The 18,804-nt window shown below is 43.1% G+C and overlaps 1 protein-coding gene across 3 annotated transcripts in view, besides 1 other annotated feature; it reads left to right on the forward strand.

The window, feature by feature from the left end:
* Nucleotides 1-18,804, forward strand: part of CMTR1 (cap methyltransferase 1) — a 57,524-nt gene that overhangs the window by 12,326 nt on the left and 26,394 nt on the right. For all 3 annotated transcript variants that reach the window (XM_047418463.1, XM_047418462.1, NM_015050.3), the window contains 6 exons: nt 7,689-7,840; nt 9,981-10,139; nt 13,941-14,033; nt 15,496-15,567; nt 16,737-16,831; nt 16,930-17,002. In XM_047418463.1, the coding sequence (XP_047274419.1) occupies nt 7,689-7,840; nt 9,981-10,139; nt 13,941-14,033; nt 15,496-15,567; nt 16,737-16,831; nt 16,930-17,002 (644 nt within the window). The remainder of the gene's footprint in view (nt 1-7,688; nt 7,841-9,980; nt 10,140-13,940; nt 14,034-15,495; nt 15,568-16,736; nt 16,832-16,929; nt 17,003-18,804) is intronic.
* Nucleotides 15,549-15,749: a silencer, noted in NCBI's record as "peak5792 fragment used in MPRA reporter construct". NCBI's record gives its function as "represses an SCP1 promoter by STARR-seq MPRAs in K562 erythroleukemia cells {active_cell/tissue: K562}" and the evidence as "EXISTENCE:reporter gene assay evidence [ECO:0000049][PMID:32103011]".

Here is an 18,804-nt window from a genome sequence, read left to right on the forward strand (position 1 = left end):
TTATTCACAGTTTCCATAGATGCTTTCTGAGGAATGGTAAAATGTCTGGGAGCTTGCCTCAAATACCTCAAGGTAAATTTGCATTTACCTTGACTTGCCAGCTGTATTAGTTTCTTAGGGCTACTGTAACAAATTACTACAAACTGGGTGACCCAAAACAACAGACATTTATTCTCTCACAGCTCTGGAGGCTAGTAGTCCAAAATCAAAGTGTTGGTGGGGCCATGTTCCCTCAAAGGCTCTTGGGAAGACCTTCCTTACCACTTCTAGCTTCTGCTGGCTGCTAGCATTCCTTGGTGTTCCTTGGCTTGTGGTAGCATAACTCCAATCTCTGCCTCTACCTTTCCTCTGTGTGTGTCTGTATCCAAATTTCCCTCTTCTTATAAGGACATCGGTCATTGGATAGGGCCCACTGTAATCTAGTATTACATTTGATGTAATCTGGAAAGACCCTATTTCCAAATTAGGTCACATTTACAGGCTTTGGGGAGGATACCATATTCAACCCAGCACACCAGCAGGCTTGCATATTGGATCCTCTGTTGGATCACTGGGAAACTGGAATGAAATTTCATAACAGATTGGTGACTGAAAGGGTGTGAAGCACCCTTTGAAGGTAGTAGGAAATACAGTTTATTCACAAGTGATAAGCTTATTGAAGGGCAGTTACTCATCAGCTGCTACTGAGAAGCTGGTCCAGAGAGAAGCTTGACAGGTGGTACAGCGAATGGAGCATCGGTGTCGCTGTAGTCCAGGCTAGATAAGAGAGTCAGTTGCAGCTTTGTATGTGGAGGTGTTCACGCCTTTAAAGCAAGCTTGTCCAACCTGTGGCCCAGGATTGCTTTGAATGGGACCCAACATAAATTTGTAAACTTTCTTAAAACATTATGAGATTTTTGGGGGATTTTTTTTTTTTTTTTAAAGCTCATCAGCTGGCCAGGCGCGGTGGCTCACAGTTGTAATCCCGGCACTTTGGGAGGCTAAGGTGGGCGGATCACGAGGTCAGGAGATCGAGACCATCCTGGCTAACACAGTGAAACCCCATCTCTACTAAAAAACAGAAAAAAGTAGCCGGGCGTGGTGGCAGGCGCCTGTACTCCCAGCTACTCGGGAGGCTGAGGCAGGAGAATGGCGTGAACCCGGGAGGCAGAGCTTGCAGTGAGCCGAGATTGTGCCACTGCACTACACGGAGCAAGAGTCCGTCTCAAAAAAAAAAAAAAAAAGCTCATCAGCTGTTGTTAGTGTATTTTATGTGTGGCCCAAGACAATTCTTCCAGTGTGGCCCAAGGACGCCAAAAGATTGGACACCTCTGCTTCAAAGTCACAGTAGATTCCAGGGTAGGTAGGAATTGAAGTTCCTGAGTAAGAAGGCAAAAACTTACTGCACGCGATGGTTCTGGAGATTCTTGAGGAAAGGGAATTTTACCTCTCACCTGGAATTTGAGCAGCTTGGTGAAGATAGAATCTCCTTGGGTAGGGGTATTGGGAGAGATGGCTTGTAAGGGAAAAAGAGAGAGTATGTCTGGGGAACAAGTGATATCTGGTTCTAAGTGGATCTTGGGGGACATTTGCTCTCAAGTAACATCTCTTTGAAGTAAGGAAAGGACAAGTCCCAGGTAAAAGAAGGTAAGTGTATAAGGGTAAGGATCCTTCAAGGAAACCGTTCTGATTTAAATTTCAAGCTTTTGTGACTGAATTGAGATTACTCTTCCCCCTTCTCTGGAAGTGGTACTATATGACTCAGTCAGGATTGACTATTGCTGTTGTGTGTGTAGAATGGAAATCCAGGCTGGGCATGGCGGCTTATGCCTGTAATTCTAATACTTTCGGAGGTCAAGGTGGGCGGATTGCTTGAGCCCAGGAGTTTGAGACCAGCCTGGGGAACATGGTGAAAACCCACCTCTGCAAAAAATACAGATATTAGCTGGGCATGGTGGCATGCACCTGTAGACCCAGCTACTCGGGAGACTGAGGTGGGAGGATCACTTGAGCCTAGGAGGTAGAGGTTGCACTGAGCCAAGATTATGCCACTGCACTCCAGCCTGGGCATCAGAACAAGACCCTATCTCAAAAAGAAAAAAAAAAGAATGGAAATCCAGAGGTGTCCAGTTCCTTGTATGTGTCTGGCAAGAGGCCACTTCGTCCTTTCATTTGCAGAAAATGAGATGGGAGGCAGAGGCAAACCAACATTTCTAGATTTCCCTAGGTTAATTTATTTTAGGAAGGGGCAGCTCTGCATTGACACAGAAACTGAGGGCAGTATCTTTATCAGCAAGACTGCTCCCTGTGCCTTCTTTCCCACCATGCCTAGCCTGGAGCAAAAGCTCAGTAAATAGTTACTGAATAGAACTGATAAAAGGCAACAATAGTATCTTTTCCAAGAAGCTTAAAATGCGTCACAGTTTTCATTTTGCCTGTCTCCTCCAGTCTGCAGAAGATCATTTCATTAAGTACTTAGCATTTATATCACCTATGTTCTGTATCTAATTCTCTTAGGTGTCCCCCGGACAGTATACCCTGGTGGTTTGCTGTCTACATATCCCCTGAAATGTATATGCAGCTTTCCTATTCAAATCATTCTATTAAAGCAGAGGTGTTTCCATTTACTGCAGCCACTTCTACCTGAACATAATGTTCAGGTAGATGATTGAAAAATGCTCTTTAGGGAGGACAATTAGAAAAACAAAACAGTAGTTACTATTTCTGTCTGTGTGGACCTTATTTTTTCCTCCTCTGCTAAATCAATGTAATGACTCATTATTAGATCTATTTAGTTTAATCAGTGTGTTTATTTTACATTATTCACATGGTAGCTGCATTGCCAGGTCAAAGACTGACATCTGGCCAGAGTAAAGAAGAAAAGGGATGTTGTTGTCATGGCCACTGTTGCATCGTGATCTTTTGAGTATTTTCAAAGGAGTTTGAAGGTATTTTCAAGTGTAAATACATTCTTACAAATTTGCTGTCAAATAACTTTTTGAAGTAAGGAGAGGCAGATGAGGTCATTTTGTTCTCTTTGGTTGTTTTTCACGGGAAAACTATGGTCTAGACCCTAAGAAAATTCCTTCTCTCCTTAGCTGTGCATCTGGTGTAGGCTCCTAGCCCTGCTGCAGCCAGTTGCTTTGGAAGTTGCCAGGCTCCTTCACCAGTATCACATTAAAGGCGCCTTCCTCTCCACCAGGTTTAATTCTTTCCTAAATAGGCTATTTGCCCTGAAACACCATCGCTTTCCTGTCAGCCCAGATTCATGACCTTAATCAAAAGCTTCCTTTATCGGTATCTGTTTAAATTGCTCTAACAAGTTACCATTTGTCTGGCATGAAGGAGAAATTGAGTCTTTAAGTAGGAATGAGTTTATTTCACCACAGTCGTTAAGCAGGATGTGATGTTTATTAAAATTCATAATTTATTTTTCTGTATCTGTGTGCTGCCCACCTTGGCCATTAGCGGTTGGAGCTGCCCCTCTTTGTTGTCACTGTCATTTTTTAAACATAGTATATGTATTCTTTTTCTTTTTTTAGTGACAGGGTTTCACTATGTTGCCCACACTGGCCATGAACTCTTGAGCTCAGGTGATCTTCCTACCTCAGCCTCCCAAGTAGCTGGGACTACAGGCACATGCCACTGTGCCCAGCTTGTCACTGCCAATTTTAATCTTGGCATGTTTGTCCCATTGCTGTATTGCCATGTGAAAAATTTTGCCAACAGCCAGGAGACCTCTGTTTCCTCTGTAAAGTTGAATCTTTCTTCCTTGTAATGACTTAATAGTGATTTCTATCAAGTGGAGAAGAAATCTTAAAACCGTACATACTGTTTTGGGCTCTCTGGTAGGTTTTAGGAGGGGAGCTCCCCAGGAGGTAAATGGGAATGCCATCCAGCTTTGGCAAATTCTTATTGAAACTAATGAGTTTAATAGACTGACCTTATTACTCCTATTTACAACCTCATTACAAAATTATCTGCTCAATGTTTGCTAAATTCTTTATCGGTCTTGAGAAGCTAAGCCTCCTGTTTAGTTCCTGCTGCAGCCGTGACAATTGTCTCCCTTTCATATGAAAAGAGTAGCCTCAAAGGCCCCTGAGTAAGAATAAGTAGTGGCTGTGGCAGTCTGTGGACATCAGGAATAATCTAGGGAACTTTGGCTTAAAGCATGTCAAGCTAAGAAGTGGTCTCCTATACCACGTGAATAAAAGAAAAAAATAAGACTTATTTGCTTATCTAGCACACTTCTTGATCTTACAAGGAATTGCCTAGTAGGGTGATATTTTACTCCCATTAACCTCACTCTTAGAACCTGGAAAGGATAATGTACATTAGGTAACACCTTGGGAGGAAGAGTAGGAGGGAAAAATCTTTGTGCCAAAGTCTGGTACTGGAATTTTACACCAGAGTCACCACTGATTTGCTTAGTGAGCCTTCCACTCAAATTTGGTTCTCCCTGTCATTTTTGCCCAGAGATATTCTGAAGACAGAAGGAAACAAAAGATCTCTCTTTGAGATCTTAGGGTGGCAGGAACCCTGTGTGCCCAGGAATGTTATTTGTACTATCTCCGTGCTCATTGTTGGGCCCTCAGGCAAATCTAACAGCCTGGCAACTCTTTAGAGCTGGAGCAAGGGCATACCCTCCTTTGAGAAGGATACCGGGTTTTCAGACTTTTTCATAGGTAGACCTATGAATGTCCAGATTGCTGGTGAAAGGAGTAGCAACTGATTTAGCATTGTAGCTTGTGATTAGTCAGGGCCCTGGATCCCTGGGCTGCCCAAGAGGAACTTTAGGGCTCTGCTTAGGGAGCTGCCCACATTCCTGGTACCACCTGTTTCTGTATTAAGTAGTACAGGTTGAAGGCATGAAAGCAACTGAGTGAAGAGAATCCATACCTTTGGAAGTGCAGTTCTTTAGCATGTGGGCACTCTGTTGCAGAGTGCATCTCTCTCCTCTGCATGGGAGAATAGATGAGAGGCCCTAGAACGGTCTTGAGCCATTTAGAAGGCCTTTCCCCTCAGATTTGCTGCTCTTGGAAGATTTCTCTGGAAAGGAACCAACCTCTTCCCAAGGCTTGGAGTGTTAATCTATTTATTTATAGCTTTTTTTACCCTAATTTTCTTTTTCTTTTTTTTTTTGAGACAGAGTTTAGCTCTTGTTGCCCAGGCTGGAGTGCAATGGCTCGATCTCGGCTCACCGCAATCTCCACCTCCTGGGTTCAAGTGAATCTCCTACCTCAGCCTCCCGAGTAGCTGAGATTATAGGCATGTGCCACCACGCCTGGCTAATTTTGTATTTTTAGTAGAGACAGGGTTTCTCCATTTGGGTCAGGCTGGTCTTGAACTCCTGACCTCAGGTGATCCGCCCGCCTCGCCTCCCAAATGTTGGGATTACAGGTGTGAGCTACCGTGCCTGGACCTTGATTTTCAAACTAATACATTCTTGTGTCTCACAAATGCAGAAAATGCAGGAAAATGCAAAACAAAAGAAATATCAGTTCACCTCTCAGTTTCCATGGTTACTCATTCTTAGTGGTCTGGGTTTTCTGAGTGGCACTCTCTGGCACTCTGTGACGTTTGCCAGATTGGTTCATGTAAGCAAGTCAACTCGATTAAGAGAATTGGACAGCCACCATAAAGGGAAGGGCAGATTTTGTGCCTCTCATACAGGGACATTCTCAACCAAAATTTATCCTTGCTAACTTATTAGAAGCCAGAATTTTGGTTTTAAGTTTATTCTTTCACACATGTTCACCTGTCTTTTCTTTCTTTTGTAAAATGTTGTATCCTTGAAAATGCATATTAACCTTATCTATTAGATTTTTAAGCTCTCTAAGGGTTGTTACTTTTGCACAGTACCCCATTATATGTAGCATGATCTTTTATAGAATAGGTGCTGAACCAGTATAGTAGTCTGATCTTTTAAACGGTATCAGTGTTCTGAACTATGACAGATGTCCTAATTCAACCTACTGGTGGGGAAGCTAAATCATAGCCCAGGAGGGCTCCGTTCTCTGTTAAGATATAGAGATCCCATTCTCATCCTTAAACTTCTGAGGCCTGAACAGCTTGCACTATTTGTAAGAGGAAATGTCTCAAGGAGTCATATACTCTGTAGGTCCTTAGGAAAGTGATACTTGGCTGACACATCTTTACATTTACTACAGTAATCATTTAATTAATTTCTATTAAATGGAAAGCCTCAGTCCAGGTGTTGGGTACAGACTGTGACATAGTTCCTGCTCTCCAGGAGTGACCCTGTCCAATGGGGACAGCAAGTGGCAAACAATAACTGGCTCTAAGGCAATGTGATGAGTGCTGTGCCAATGACACTGGTGTTACTGGAGCACAGTGGAAGGGATAATCAGTTAGGCCTGGAGTGCTGGGGAAAGCTTTGTTCTTCTTGAATGTCAACCCTTAGCAGGTTTTGGTTCTGGTAGGGAAATGGATGGATCACTTAAGATTGGCTTCAGAATTATAATGTATTCTTCAAGTTAGAAATACCTGAATAGTGACCACCTCGGGTCTATTAAAAAATGTTTTACACACTGCCGTCTGTGACTTTCCTTCAGTACTTCTCACAAGCAGCCAAGTTTTGAATCAACACCCTTTCTGAGTGGTGTCCCTTCTTCTTCAAAGGAATTATGCCACATTGCTAAGTCAATATTTTCATATTTATTTTAAATTTTAATAGATAATATATTCACATGGTTCATAAGTCAAAAAATATAAAAAGATAGCCAGTGTAAACTTTCGTGGTATAAAAATGTAAATCAAGTTTCACTTTTGCTTTCACTAGTTCCAAGTAATTGTTTTGGTATTCTGTCTCCAAATGCTAACCCCTGAATGTGTGAATAATCACTTTTATTGGTCTTCTTGTATATCGTTCCTTCCAAAAGCTCTTTTTGCAATTATAAGAAATAAAAATGTTAGCCTTATAATGGAATCGTTGAAAATGGAATCAGGCATCAGTGTTTGGATATTGATGTTCTAATAATAACCACCAGCAGCAGAAATAACAATCATATCTTCAGTAAATACACTTTATATTTGACAATGTACTTTCTTTTTTTTTTTTTGAGATGGAGTCTCACTCTTTTTGCCCAGACTGGCATGCAGTGGCGCAATTTCGGCTCACTGCAACTTCTGCCTCCCGGGTTCAAGCAATTCTCCTGCCTCAGCCTCCCAAGTAGCTTGGATTACAGGCACGCACTACCACACCCAGCTAATTTTTGTATTTTTATTAGAGATAGGGTTTCACCATGTTGGCCAGGCTGATCTTGAACTCCTGACCTCAAGTGATCCGCCCACCTCAGCGTCCTCCTGGAGTACTGGGATTACGCGTGAGCCACCATGCCCAGCCAACAATGCATTTTCAAATACGTTATTTCATTTAATCTTTAAACAATCCTGTGAGGCAGGTATTACTATCTCAGTTTTATAGTGGAGGAAATTGAAAGGGTGGGGAAGGAAAACTGTTATTTTTGAGCTCCCATTGTGTCAAGTCCATTAGGAACTTTCAGTAGTGACTTGCCCAAGATTACCTAGCTAGTAAGAGGTAGAAAATAGATTTGACCTTGGGTCATTTAATGAACTTTATATGTGCATTGTGTATACTGAACAGTAGTTGAATAAATGAAACTTGGATGTCTGGAGGCTATTTTGTGCCATAAACCTACCTAAACATTTTCCTTTTTCTTTTTCAGCATCTACTACAAGCCTTAGTGGGTCTGATAGTGAGACCGAGGGGAAACAACACAGCTCTGACTCTTTTGACGATGCATTCAAAGCAGACTCTCTTGTGGAAGGAACTTCTTCTCGCTATTCCATGTATAATAGCGTCTCCCAGAAGCTTATGGTATGTCAGCGCTTGGGTTGGGTTTCTCAAGCCCCACCAGCAGAGTGAAAGAAGGGCAATTTGTATTTGTATGAAAAGAAGAAAAGTTTGGCCATAGGTTTTTCCTTTGCTTTTCAGCTACTGAAATTTAGCAGAGTGTGACCCACTTCTTGATAGAAGTATCTATCACATTTGTATCATCTATAGGCAGCAACTGCTTAGGCCTGTTTCTGCTGTTCTATCTGGACTGGATCACCTTTTCATATCCATAGTAATGAATTCTTATTACTAACATGTGTGACTATACTTCCCTAAACATGGATGTCTGTCAGTGGGTAAAGAAGCTTCATGCTGTGAATTTTTGCTCTAGTGAGTGGTGTCAAAAGAAACGACTAAAATCCTGTTCACTCCCAGATGCCTAAAATAAATGGAAGTATTCCATTTATTCTTTTTCTGAAAGAAGGCCCAATTATCTTTCCTAACTTTTATACCTAATTGATGTATCACAAGAAGAATGGTGACTAGGAAGACCTGCTCATATTCCTTAGTGTATGTGCAAACATTAGAGAGATCCAAGTTTACCTTCTGTCTTGCTTTAGAAATATTATAGTTGGGCCAGGCGCAGTGGCTCACGTCTGTAATCCCAGCACTTTGGGAGGCTGAGGCAGGTGGCTCACTTGAGGTCAGGAGTTCAAGACCAGCCTGGCCAACATGGTGAAACCCCGTCTCTACTAAAAATACAAAAAATTATCCAGGCATGGTGGCAGGTGCCTGTAATCCCAGCTCCTCAGGAGGCTGAGTCAGGAGAATCGCTTGAACCTGAGAGGTGGAGCTTGCAGTGAGCTGAGATCACGCCACTGCACTCCAGCCTAATTAACAAAGTGAGACTCTGTCTCAAAAAATAAAAAAAAAGAAAGAAATATTATAGTTGACCCCTCCATTTTCTCTTAGATTCATTTAAGAATGAGAATTGTCACTGCTAAAGCCATAGGTCAGGATTCTAGTTTGCAGGCTATAAGATTTGGGGAAGTTAAAGATGGGAAGGCTTGTGACTCAGTCAGCCTGTTTGACCTGGGAGAAGTATTTGTGGCTACCATAGGAATTCCATCCAGCTCTTTAGCTGGTAATACCCCTTTCAGAGGGAATATAGACCCTCCAGGGAAATTTAGATCTTCTTAGGATTGCAGTTTTTTTTGTATTAGGCAGGAGTCTGTGGGGTTTGGGATTCAAGTCTCTAATCTTTGGGTATATACCTGGGCCCAGTAACTCTAAAGTTTAGTGAGAACTTACAGATAGTTGTGGCATTTAAAAAACTGTTTCTGTCCCAGAGTATTATAGTCCTCCCATACCTCACCTTTTTTTTTTTTTTTTTTTTTTGAGATGGAGTCTTGCTCTGTCGCCCAGGCTGGAGTGCAGTGGTGTGATCTCGGCTCACTGCAAGCTTCACCTCCTGGGTTCATGCCATTGTCCTGCCTCAGCCTCCTGAGTAGCTGGGACTACAGGTGCCTGCCACCATGCCTGGCTAATTTTTTTGTATTTTTGGTAGAGACAGGGTTTGTTTCACCGTGTTAGCCAGGATGGTCTCTATCTCCTGACCTCGTGATCCGCCCTTCTCGGCCTCCCAAAGTGCTGGGATTACAGACTTGAGCCACCGCGCCCGGTCCCATACCTCACTTTTACATGAGGCAAGTTTTTAATCTCTTAAGTGGGCTCCTGCCAAGCCACTTATCCTTGCCTAGTAAGGCTGTTTGACTGGATAAGGGTAAGGTAGAAGTTACAGCTTGAAGCGGTTCCATTTTAAATTATGTTCTCTTTATCAAGTCTACTCTAGGTCTGCTTCTCACTTAATCAGACAAATTAGCAAATGTCCAATGAGAGATTCATGAAGTACTCTGGGTGCTTTTAATTAGGCTATGAGGTCCCTTCTCATTTATCCAATTTCTGGTTGCCCTAGACTTTAACCTCCAGAACAGCCAGCCACTGGGCCCACAGTTATACTGCAGTTATTTATTTATGCTTCTTTTCTTCATTAGGCTAAGACAAACTTTAGACTTTAATCATCTATTTTTCTTAGGATTTAGCACACTGTTTGGCATGTGATGGGGCTAAATAAATGTCTGTTGAACCTAATTAATTGTGCTCCACTACTTCTCTTTTTCAGGCCAAGATGGGCTTCAGGGAAGGTGAAGGATTGGGTAAATACAGCCAGGGTCGGAAGGACATCGTTGAGGCTTCCAGTCAGAAAGGTCGAAGAGGCTTGGGTCTGACACTCCGGGGCTTTGACCAGGAGCTGAACGTGGACTGGCGAGATGAGCCAGAGGTAAGTGTTAAAGTGAGGAGGAGATGGAAAAGCCACTTGTGTTTTTGGATGCATGGCTTTAAGAAGCCATATCAACAAACTAGAAATCTCCAGAGGCAGTATGAGCAAAGTGGAATTAGTTTTTTACGTGGAAAGTACTGGGGATATCCAGAATGGAAAACAGAAGGCTGGGGGAGATATGGTGGGATGTGGATTTCCTGTTGCATTATAGGACTGTCTAAGACCAACGGGTAGAAGATGCTTGAAAGGCAGAGTTTGGCTCCATAAAAACTTTAATAAATAGTTACAGCTCTCCACTAGTGGACTAGGATACCTTGTGAGGCAGTGTGCTCTCTGCTGAAAGTGTTCAGGCAGGCCAAGGGAGCACCCACTCTCTCACTGTGTGAGTAACTGGAGTAGGTGCCTTCTAAGAAGATCCTTGTACTTCCCCAGGTTTGTGCCATCCAGGTTCTAAATAGGTGCTTTTTTATGCCACATTGCTTTTCTACTGTGGGTTTAGTCTGCTTACTAGGGTACCAGTTTGTTTTCACCCTGAAGACCAAAGGAAACTCTCATTATCCCTTTTCATGGCACAGACAATGTGAGATTTTATTTTATTCATTTATTTATGTCCTATCTTATTCCGTAAAGGATCTGTAGTGGGTACAATAAAAACACCTAAAAATAACATTGAGATATTACCATTACAGAGTTGAAACTAGAGAAAATGGAACTCAAACATCTAGCTTTCTGCATAGTTGCTGTAGTTCAGCTTCAGATGTGGCTCTGAACTCTGGAAAATTGATATTTTATTTGTCTCCCTAATGTTCCAGTTCAGGAAAGAAGTCCCGTGAATCTGCATGTGATAAAAGCCTAATAAGTCTTCTGAGTAAGATTCTGACGAGTGAGGGGCTCATGGGTTCTGGGGCCGGTCTCGCTGTTGCCTTGTAGTTGTGGGCGTTGAGACCAGCAGACTGGCAATGCGGAACAGGGTAGATACCTGCTGCTGGTTGCTGGTTGTGGGCTTTCATCTCAGAAGTACCTGATGGTTTCTATGTCTTCATTCGTGTTAAAACAAGAGTCCACATCCTTTCAGTGGGGCAGAAGTTGAACTAACTTCACTAAACTCAAAATCTGAAATCACCCTATAGGCCGGGCATGGTGGCTTACGCCTATAATCCCAGCACTTTGGGAGGCCGAGGCGGGTGGATCACCTGAGGTCAGGAGTTCAAGACCAGCCTGACCAACATGACGAAACCCCATCTCTGCTAAAAATACAAAAACTAGCCAGGTGTGGGACTCACACCTGTAATTCCAGCTGCTAGAGAGGCTAAGGCAGGAGAATCACTTGAACCTGGGAAGCAGAGGTTGCAGTGAGCAGAGATCGTGCCACTGCACTCTAGCCTTCCAGCCTGGGCAACAGACTGAGACTTTGTCTCAAAAAAAAAAAAAAGCCCTATAAGTAAGTAAACGTTTGTAAGTAAAAGTTAGGTCAAGTGGGGCCAGGCATGGTGGCTCACGCCTGTAACCCCAGCACTTTGGGAGGCCAAGGCAGGTGGATCTCAAGGTCAGGAGATCAAGACCATCTTGGCTAACACGGTGAAATCCCGTCTCTACTAAAAAATACAAAAAATTAGCCGGGCATGGTGGCGGGCACCTGTAGTCCCAGCTACTCGGGAGGCTGAGGCAGGAGAATGGCATGAACCTGGGAGGCGGAGCTTGCAGTGAGCTGAGATTGCGCCCCTGCACTCCAGCCTGGGCAACAGTGAGAGATTCCGTCTCAAAAAAAAAAAAAAAAAAAAGAGGTCAAGTGTCAGTTGGCAGCCACTTCTTTACAGTAGGTGAGTCTGGGTGTCCAGGGGTGGATATCCAATCATGGGGTTACCACGGATAAATGCTCAGTGGCTACTGCAGCCTAGGAATGTGGAGGACAGAGTATGACCCTCTGGATAAAGTCCACTCTGTAGGTAGTTATAATAATCAGACTTCCATAGGGACATTGAGTCTGCTTTTTCTTTCCAAGTTTATATGAGCTTCTTGTTCTCTAGAGTTTATAATTTATAACCAACTCTATCACCTTTATGCTTAAACATGATAGATTTGACCAGGAGAAGAAGCCATGATTCACTGCCAGATTCATGGACAAAAGGCTTCAGTAATTTTTCTTTTCAACTTTGTCTCTGTTGATGCTGGTTGGCTTGCCCTCAAGACCTTGCATTGTGATACCATTTTATGCCTTTCAGAGCATGTAATATTACTTTTAATCACATTGCTTCAATTTGCAATGGTGAATCTCTTCTCCACACTTGCTTGGGAGCCAATATGTGAAGCTGCCATGCAGGTTAGCCACCTGTTTAGGTTTTATAATCCATGTTTCTCTATCCTGGTGGCACTTAGCGCTGCCTGCACAGTAGAATCATCTGGGGACTTCTGAAAACTTATCCCCAGGCCTCACTTCAGACCAGCAGAATCTTATATTCTGGAGATGGGTCTCAGGCATCAGTACTATTTTTTATTTTTTATTTTATTTGAGACAAGGTCTTGCGCTGTTGCCCAGGCTGGAATGCAGTGGCACAAACACAGTTAACTGCAACTTTGAAATCCTGGGCGCAAGATATCCTCTCACCTCAGCCTTCTGAGTATCTACAACTACAGGCCTGTGCCACCATGCCTGGCTAATTTTTTAGACTTTTTTTTAGTAGAGACAGAGTCTTGCTGTGTTGCCCAGACTGGTCTTAAACTCCTGGCCTCAAGCAGTCCTTCTACCTTGGCCTCCCAAAGCATTGGAATTACAGGTGTGAGCTACTGGGCCCAGCTCCAGGCATCAGTACTATTTTATGTTTTGTTATGTTATGTTATGTTATGTTATGTTATGTTATGTTATGTTATTTTGTTTTCAAGACGGAGTTTTGTTCTGTCACCCAGGCTGGAGTGCAGTGGCGCAATCTCGGCTCACTGCAACCTCTACCTTCCGGATTCAAGGGATTCTCCCGCCTCAGCCTCCCAAGTAGCTGGGTTTACAGATGTGCACTGCCATGCCCAGCTAATTTTTGTATTTTTAGTAGAGACGGGGTTTCACCATGTTGGCCAGGCTGGTCTTGAACGCCTGACCTCAAGTGATCTGCCCACCTCAGCCTCCCAAAGTGCTGGGATTACAGGCGTGAGCCACCACACCCAGCTGCATCAGTACTCTTTAGAAGCACTGCAGATGATCCTAATGCACCGTTTTGGCCTGATAGGAAAGTAATTGAAAAATTAAGAGGAAGCACCCATTAGAGATGTCAGTTTTTGTTCTCCCTTAGAATGAATGGGCTAGGAATCCTGTTTACCAGTTTCTGGATTGTTTTTTGAGTAACACTTTGAAAGGAATCAGGAGATGAGACTCATTGCCATTAAGTCTTTCTGATATACTTATCTTGTCATAGACCTACATTGTATGCGATAACTGCCTGTTTACTTCTGTGTCTCCACTGCTCTGATTGCAAACCCCTTTTGCCAAGGGCCATGTCTTATTTAACTCTGCATTCTGAGTGCTTAACACATAGTAGGTATTCATTAAATAATAATGGAACAAATGAAAGAAACCTTAGGTTTGAGAAGTTTCTAAGGATTCTAACCAGAATTGGAGCTGGCTTTAGAAGTTAAACTTTAGAATTCTGGCTCTCACGTCTCATGTCTGACCACTGCATTTGGCTTCAGCAACCTGCACCCTTCTCGGTCTGTCTCAGTCCCTTTTGATTGTTTTGGGGAAGTCCTGATGAGTTGGGGTTTAGCTTTGAGGGTGTGTCATATCTGTCTTACTAGCCTCTCTTTTGTTTGCAGCCCAGTGCTTGTGAGCAGGTGTCATGGTTTCCAGAATGTACCACTGAAATTCCTGACACTCAGGAAATGAGCGATTGGATGGTGGTGGGAAAGGTAGGCTTTCAGGAAAACGTACCCTGACTTCTTGGCATTCTCTTGACTTTTCACTTGCTCGAGTCTGGTATTTACATACACTTGCAGTTTAAGAAAAATGTGAATCTGACCATTCATGTTGGTAGGAATAAAACTGTGTCAAGAGGGAGTGTCATGAGCTTTACAAGTATGCCCCTTGGAGATATGACAGGGTTTTTTCTTTTCTCTAAGTTATTTAAATTGTAAGGCAGATAAAATGTATAACCTCTGTCTTCTTCATGGATGCCTTTTGAAGTGGCTTATCATACATATCTGTGTATTCTGATCACTGCTAGATGAAAAGACATTGTCCCTGCCCTCAGAAAGTAATGAGGGAATTGTTACAGAGGGAATTTGTTTAATCTTCTTCTGGAAAATTGTGAGAATAAAGTAGATGGCTACCAAATCAATATGGTCTAGAGGGCAGTTCTCAAAGTGTATGTGCTCCCGGGGATCTCTAAGACCCCTTCAGGGGGTCCACAAGGGCAAAGCTATTTTCATAATGATATTGAAAAGTTATTTGCACTTTTCACCCTCATTCTCTCACAAGTGTTCAGTGGAGTTTTCCAGAGGCTATGATGTGATATTACAACAGATTGAATGAAAAAGCAAAGAGGAAAATCTGGCCTTCTGTTAAGACAGATGCTGAAGAAATTTGCAAAAATGGAAAACAGTACCACTCTCCTCACTCATTTTTTTTTTGGAAATGTTATTTTTCTGAAAATATATTTCTGAAAAATATTTATGTTAACATTAGCCTTTTAAACTGAATTTAAAAATATTTTTAAAATCTGTTTTGATTTTTAATAATATAATTATTTGAATTCTAGATAATAGATTACCTGTCTATTATCTATCCCGCATAAACAAAAATTCTTCAGGATCCTCAATAATTTTTATGAGTGTAAAACCTGAGACCAAAGAGATTGAGTTTTACTGGTTTAGAGGTGGCTTCACTCATTTTGGGGTTGCACTTGATATCCCTGTGAGACCCCTTAGCGTCCCTGTTTTCTGAAATGCTACCAGGTCAGTGCCTGGTATCATGTATTTCTACTCATCACAGAGAGGCTTCCTGGTGGAAGGACAAGCTTTTGTCATTTGAGGCATTCCCCATCCTTCTGCCTCCATGCTCCAGGGTTAGACAGCTTGAATGTCTCCTTCCTGTTTGGTGTTCCCAGCCTCAGCATTCATGAGTCTTGTGTCCATATGGTGCTCTACTCAGAGCTCCTGGGGTGGGGGTGAGGGGGTGCTTCATCTCACAGCCATCTGGAGAATAGCCAGAGGGATTTAGGATTTTCTCTTTCCCACCCTTCAGGGATTGATGTTTCTTGGCAGAGAACCAAGTCCCTTCTTGCTCTACTTACTTGGAACCCTAATTTCTTCATTCATCCCCGACAATTGCAGTCACACGTGGTCATTACTTACTGCTTTTTTCTCCCTGTAGAGAAAGATGATTATTGAAGATGAAACAGAGTTTTGTGGGGAAGAGCTGCTTCACAGTGTGTTGCAGTGTAAGGTAAGGTCTTGTGGCTAGAACCAGATAATGAAAACCTTGTGGGAGGTGATTTGCTGGACTTTTCCATTTCTCCTTTGAGTGGGTTGTGGGAAGCTAAAGTTAAGATTTTTGCTGGAGATCAGATGCATAGCTTGGTTCATATCTGCAAATTGTCTTTTTCCTGGGTGACTGTTCTGCCCTGTGGGTGTTGTGCTGTCCCTGTGGTCAGCAGCCAAGAAAGGATCTGCCTAATCTCAGTGGGTCTGTTCATTGTAATCCTGAGAGGGCCTGGTGTAGTAAAAGGTTTGGAGTCATTCCTTAGCATCAGATAGACCAGGATTCAAATCCAAGATCTGCAACTCTTTGCTGTGTGACCTTGGCCCGGTGGTTTTACTCTCTCTGAGTTTGAGTTTCCTCATCTATAAAATGAGGAGAAAATACTCTTTTCTCAGGGTTGTTGTGAGAGCTAAATGAAATAGTGGGTGTGAAGTACCTGGGTAAATGTTAGCCTCCCCTTGACACTTTTTGTCTTAATTGAGAATCACATTGTGTGTGGGCAGAATGAGCCAGGGAAACTCTGAGGAGGAAATGGGTTGGTGAAAAAGGCAGGCCTCAGAGTAGCCTCACAGATTTTATTTTTTGGCAGGCATAGGGTTGGGAATATCCATAAGGTGACTGGAGCTCAGGTAATGTGAGGATTTCTTTATCTAGAGAGGAAATTGGTCAGGGGAGTTTGAGAGAAGGGATTGCTACTGTGTGGTAGGTGCCATCAGAAAACCCTAGTCTTGTTTATTTGTTTCTCCTCTCTCTAAGTGAGGTCTAGTCAGGTAAGCCTTCATACCAGAACTTTGATCCCTTGGAGAGTAGCTGCTGGTATGGGATGGAGAAACAGATTTACTATGAGGATTAGCAATGCCCAGAGGTGGCTCTGTGTGTAGCAGCGGGTGCCGTTTTTTAAACACTTGCCATGTGCCAGGCACCTGTTTACATTTTTTTTTTTTAACCAATTTACCGGCAAGGTAGTTGAGAGAGTTATTGAGCAGCCTGTGTAGGGTCACACAGTGAGACATTTCAGAGCTGAGATGCCACAGGAATCTTGTTCCTTGGAGGGCTGTGAGTTGGGCACTGCAGGGTCTTAAGGTCCCTTTCCTATCCTGGAATTCACCTTGAGGTTCTGATTCTCTGGGCAGAGCGTGTTTGATGTCTTGGATGGGGAAGAGATGCGGCGAGCTCGGACTCGGGCCAATCCCTATGAGATGATCCGAGGAGTCTTCTTTCTAAACAGGTTTGCTGACATTTCCCTCCCCTCCCCTGATGCTCCCTGCTCTACCTTTTCAATTGAGCCTAGTACATCTAGTACTTTTCTGTCTTGCTTTATTGCAGGGCAGCAATGAAGATGGCTAACATGGATTTTGTATTTGATCGCATGTTCACAAATCCGCGGGACTCTTATGGGGTGAGAACAAGATTCTGCTTCTGAATTCATGGTGCTAAGAGGGCTTAAGTTTCAGTGGCTCAGCCATTGCCATTTGTTCAATGCTAGGAGAGTATTCTGACTGTGTGATGGAGATACTTTGCTTTGAGCTCCTCAGATAGGGTCCCACAGTGCTTCTGTGGTCCCAGGAGTGAAGCAGTTGTCTTCAGGGCTTCAGTCCTGGAATCCGAGCCACTAACCCTACAGAAGGTAGAGTGGAAGGGTGAATACTGTTTTTATATAGCAAGCTTATTTTCCAAATTGAAACTTGGTGACATCACCTGATTTGGGTGCTGTTTCTGGTAATGAGAGGGGAATATGGTTTGAGTGTTGGATGAAATGTGGGCATTTCAGTGGGCATTTTCATTGATCTATTTAAAATCAGTGTTGTATCTGAAAATCTAGCCTGTGTTGTTGGAATGTGGTGAGGAGGGACATGACATAGCATTTATGAAGCAGGATGGATTACTTAAGTTTATACCTTCTTTGGGCCTCAGCTCCCTCATTCTGAAATGAGCCGTACTAACCTGCCAGAGGGCTAGGGTAGAACCAAAAGGCTCTTAAGATTTGTCCCAGCACTAAGACTGTAATTTTAGACTGGGCCACTTTCCTTCTCTGCCTCTCTGAACAAGCTTTGCGTGGGATCATAATTATAAGGCTTTGGCCCTTTTCAAGAAGTGGTAAAGCAAAGTGAGTTTCTACTCTGCTGCATCTCATTTCTCTGAACATAGACTCGCCATAGTGATAGAGAAAGAAAAAAAGGAAATTTCATTCTAGAATTCCCTTCAGGGTTTCAAAGCATTTTTACCCGGTCCTAGAAAGTTACTTTTCTTTGACAGTGATAGGGCCAGGAGCCAGCTATCCCCAAACCTGTTTCTGCTTCACTCACCCTCATTCCACTAGACCCCCTGATTATCCACTGGCTAAAGAAACTTGTTTTCCAAGTTCTTTAATGTTTCAGCTCCACCTACCTAACTGCTTCCTCCTTGCTGGCAAAACTGGCATGTAGCCCCTCCAGCCATTACTCATTTTTCACTCCCAGGTCTCCCTTCCCATTCTCCAGTACCAGCAGGCAGCACAAAAGGGCTCTTGGAATTAGCATCTTGAGAAAATTAGGTTGATATAATGTTGATTTAATTTTCTGAGCTCCAAATGATTTCCTTTAAACCCCTGCCTGGCAGAGGAGCTCTGTCAAGCTGATGGGAAGTCACAGTGTCTTTTTTGGCTTTTGTATACAAATGCCTCCAGCAGCTGGTATCTGGTTATTGCCTTTTGCTGTCATGAAAATGAAGTAGGCACCAGGGTTGTACCATTCAGGTTGAGGGTAGAGGTGTTAGTTACATAGGAAAAGGCAGCCGTGTTTGTAATGCTTCAGGCAGCTTCTTGACCTGAATTGATTGTTAGTGGCCACGGAGAATTGCCCTTTCAGAGATGTTTCTCTATGCTTCACTATAAAAAAAGTGATTTCTCTCGAGCCCCTGGTGTTTTATTTTCTCTTTTCATTTCCGTTTTCCCCTGAGGACCAGAGTTACAGCCAAGCCCCACAGGCTTGGTGTGGTTTTCAGGCCAGCAGAGACACTAGAGCAGTCCCCAGCAGAAGAGGGAGTGGCTGAAGGCCCAGGCACACACCCATGTTTGCTAGGGTCATAATGGCTCTTGGATCAGGCAAATTATAGACTAAGAGCAGGAGAATTTGAAGCTTGGAATGTGAAGATGTTAAGAGGTGATGACAAGTGATGGAGAGAGCAGACTGAAGTTTTTTTTTTTTTTCGAGACGGAGTTTC

Source organism: Homo sapiens, chromosome 6 (genome assembly GCF_000001405.40).
Source record: "Homo sapiens chromosome 6, GRCh38.p14 Primary Assembly".
NCBI classification, from domain to species: Eukaryota; Metazoa; Chordata; class Mammalia; order Primates; family Hominidae; genus Homo; species Homo sapiens.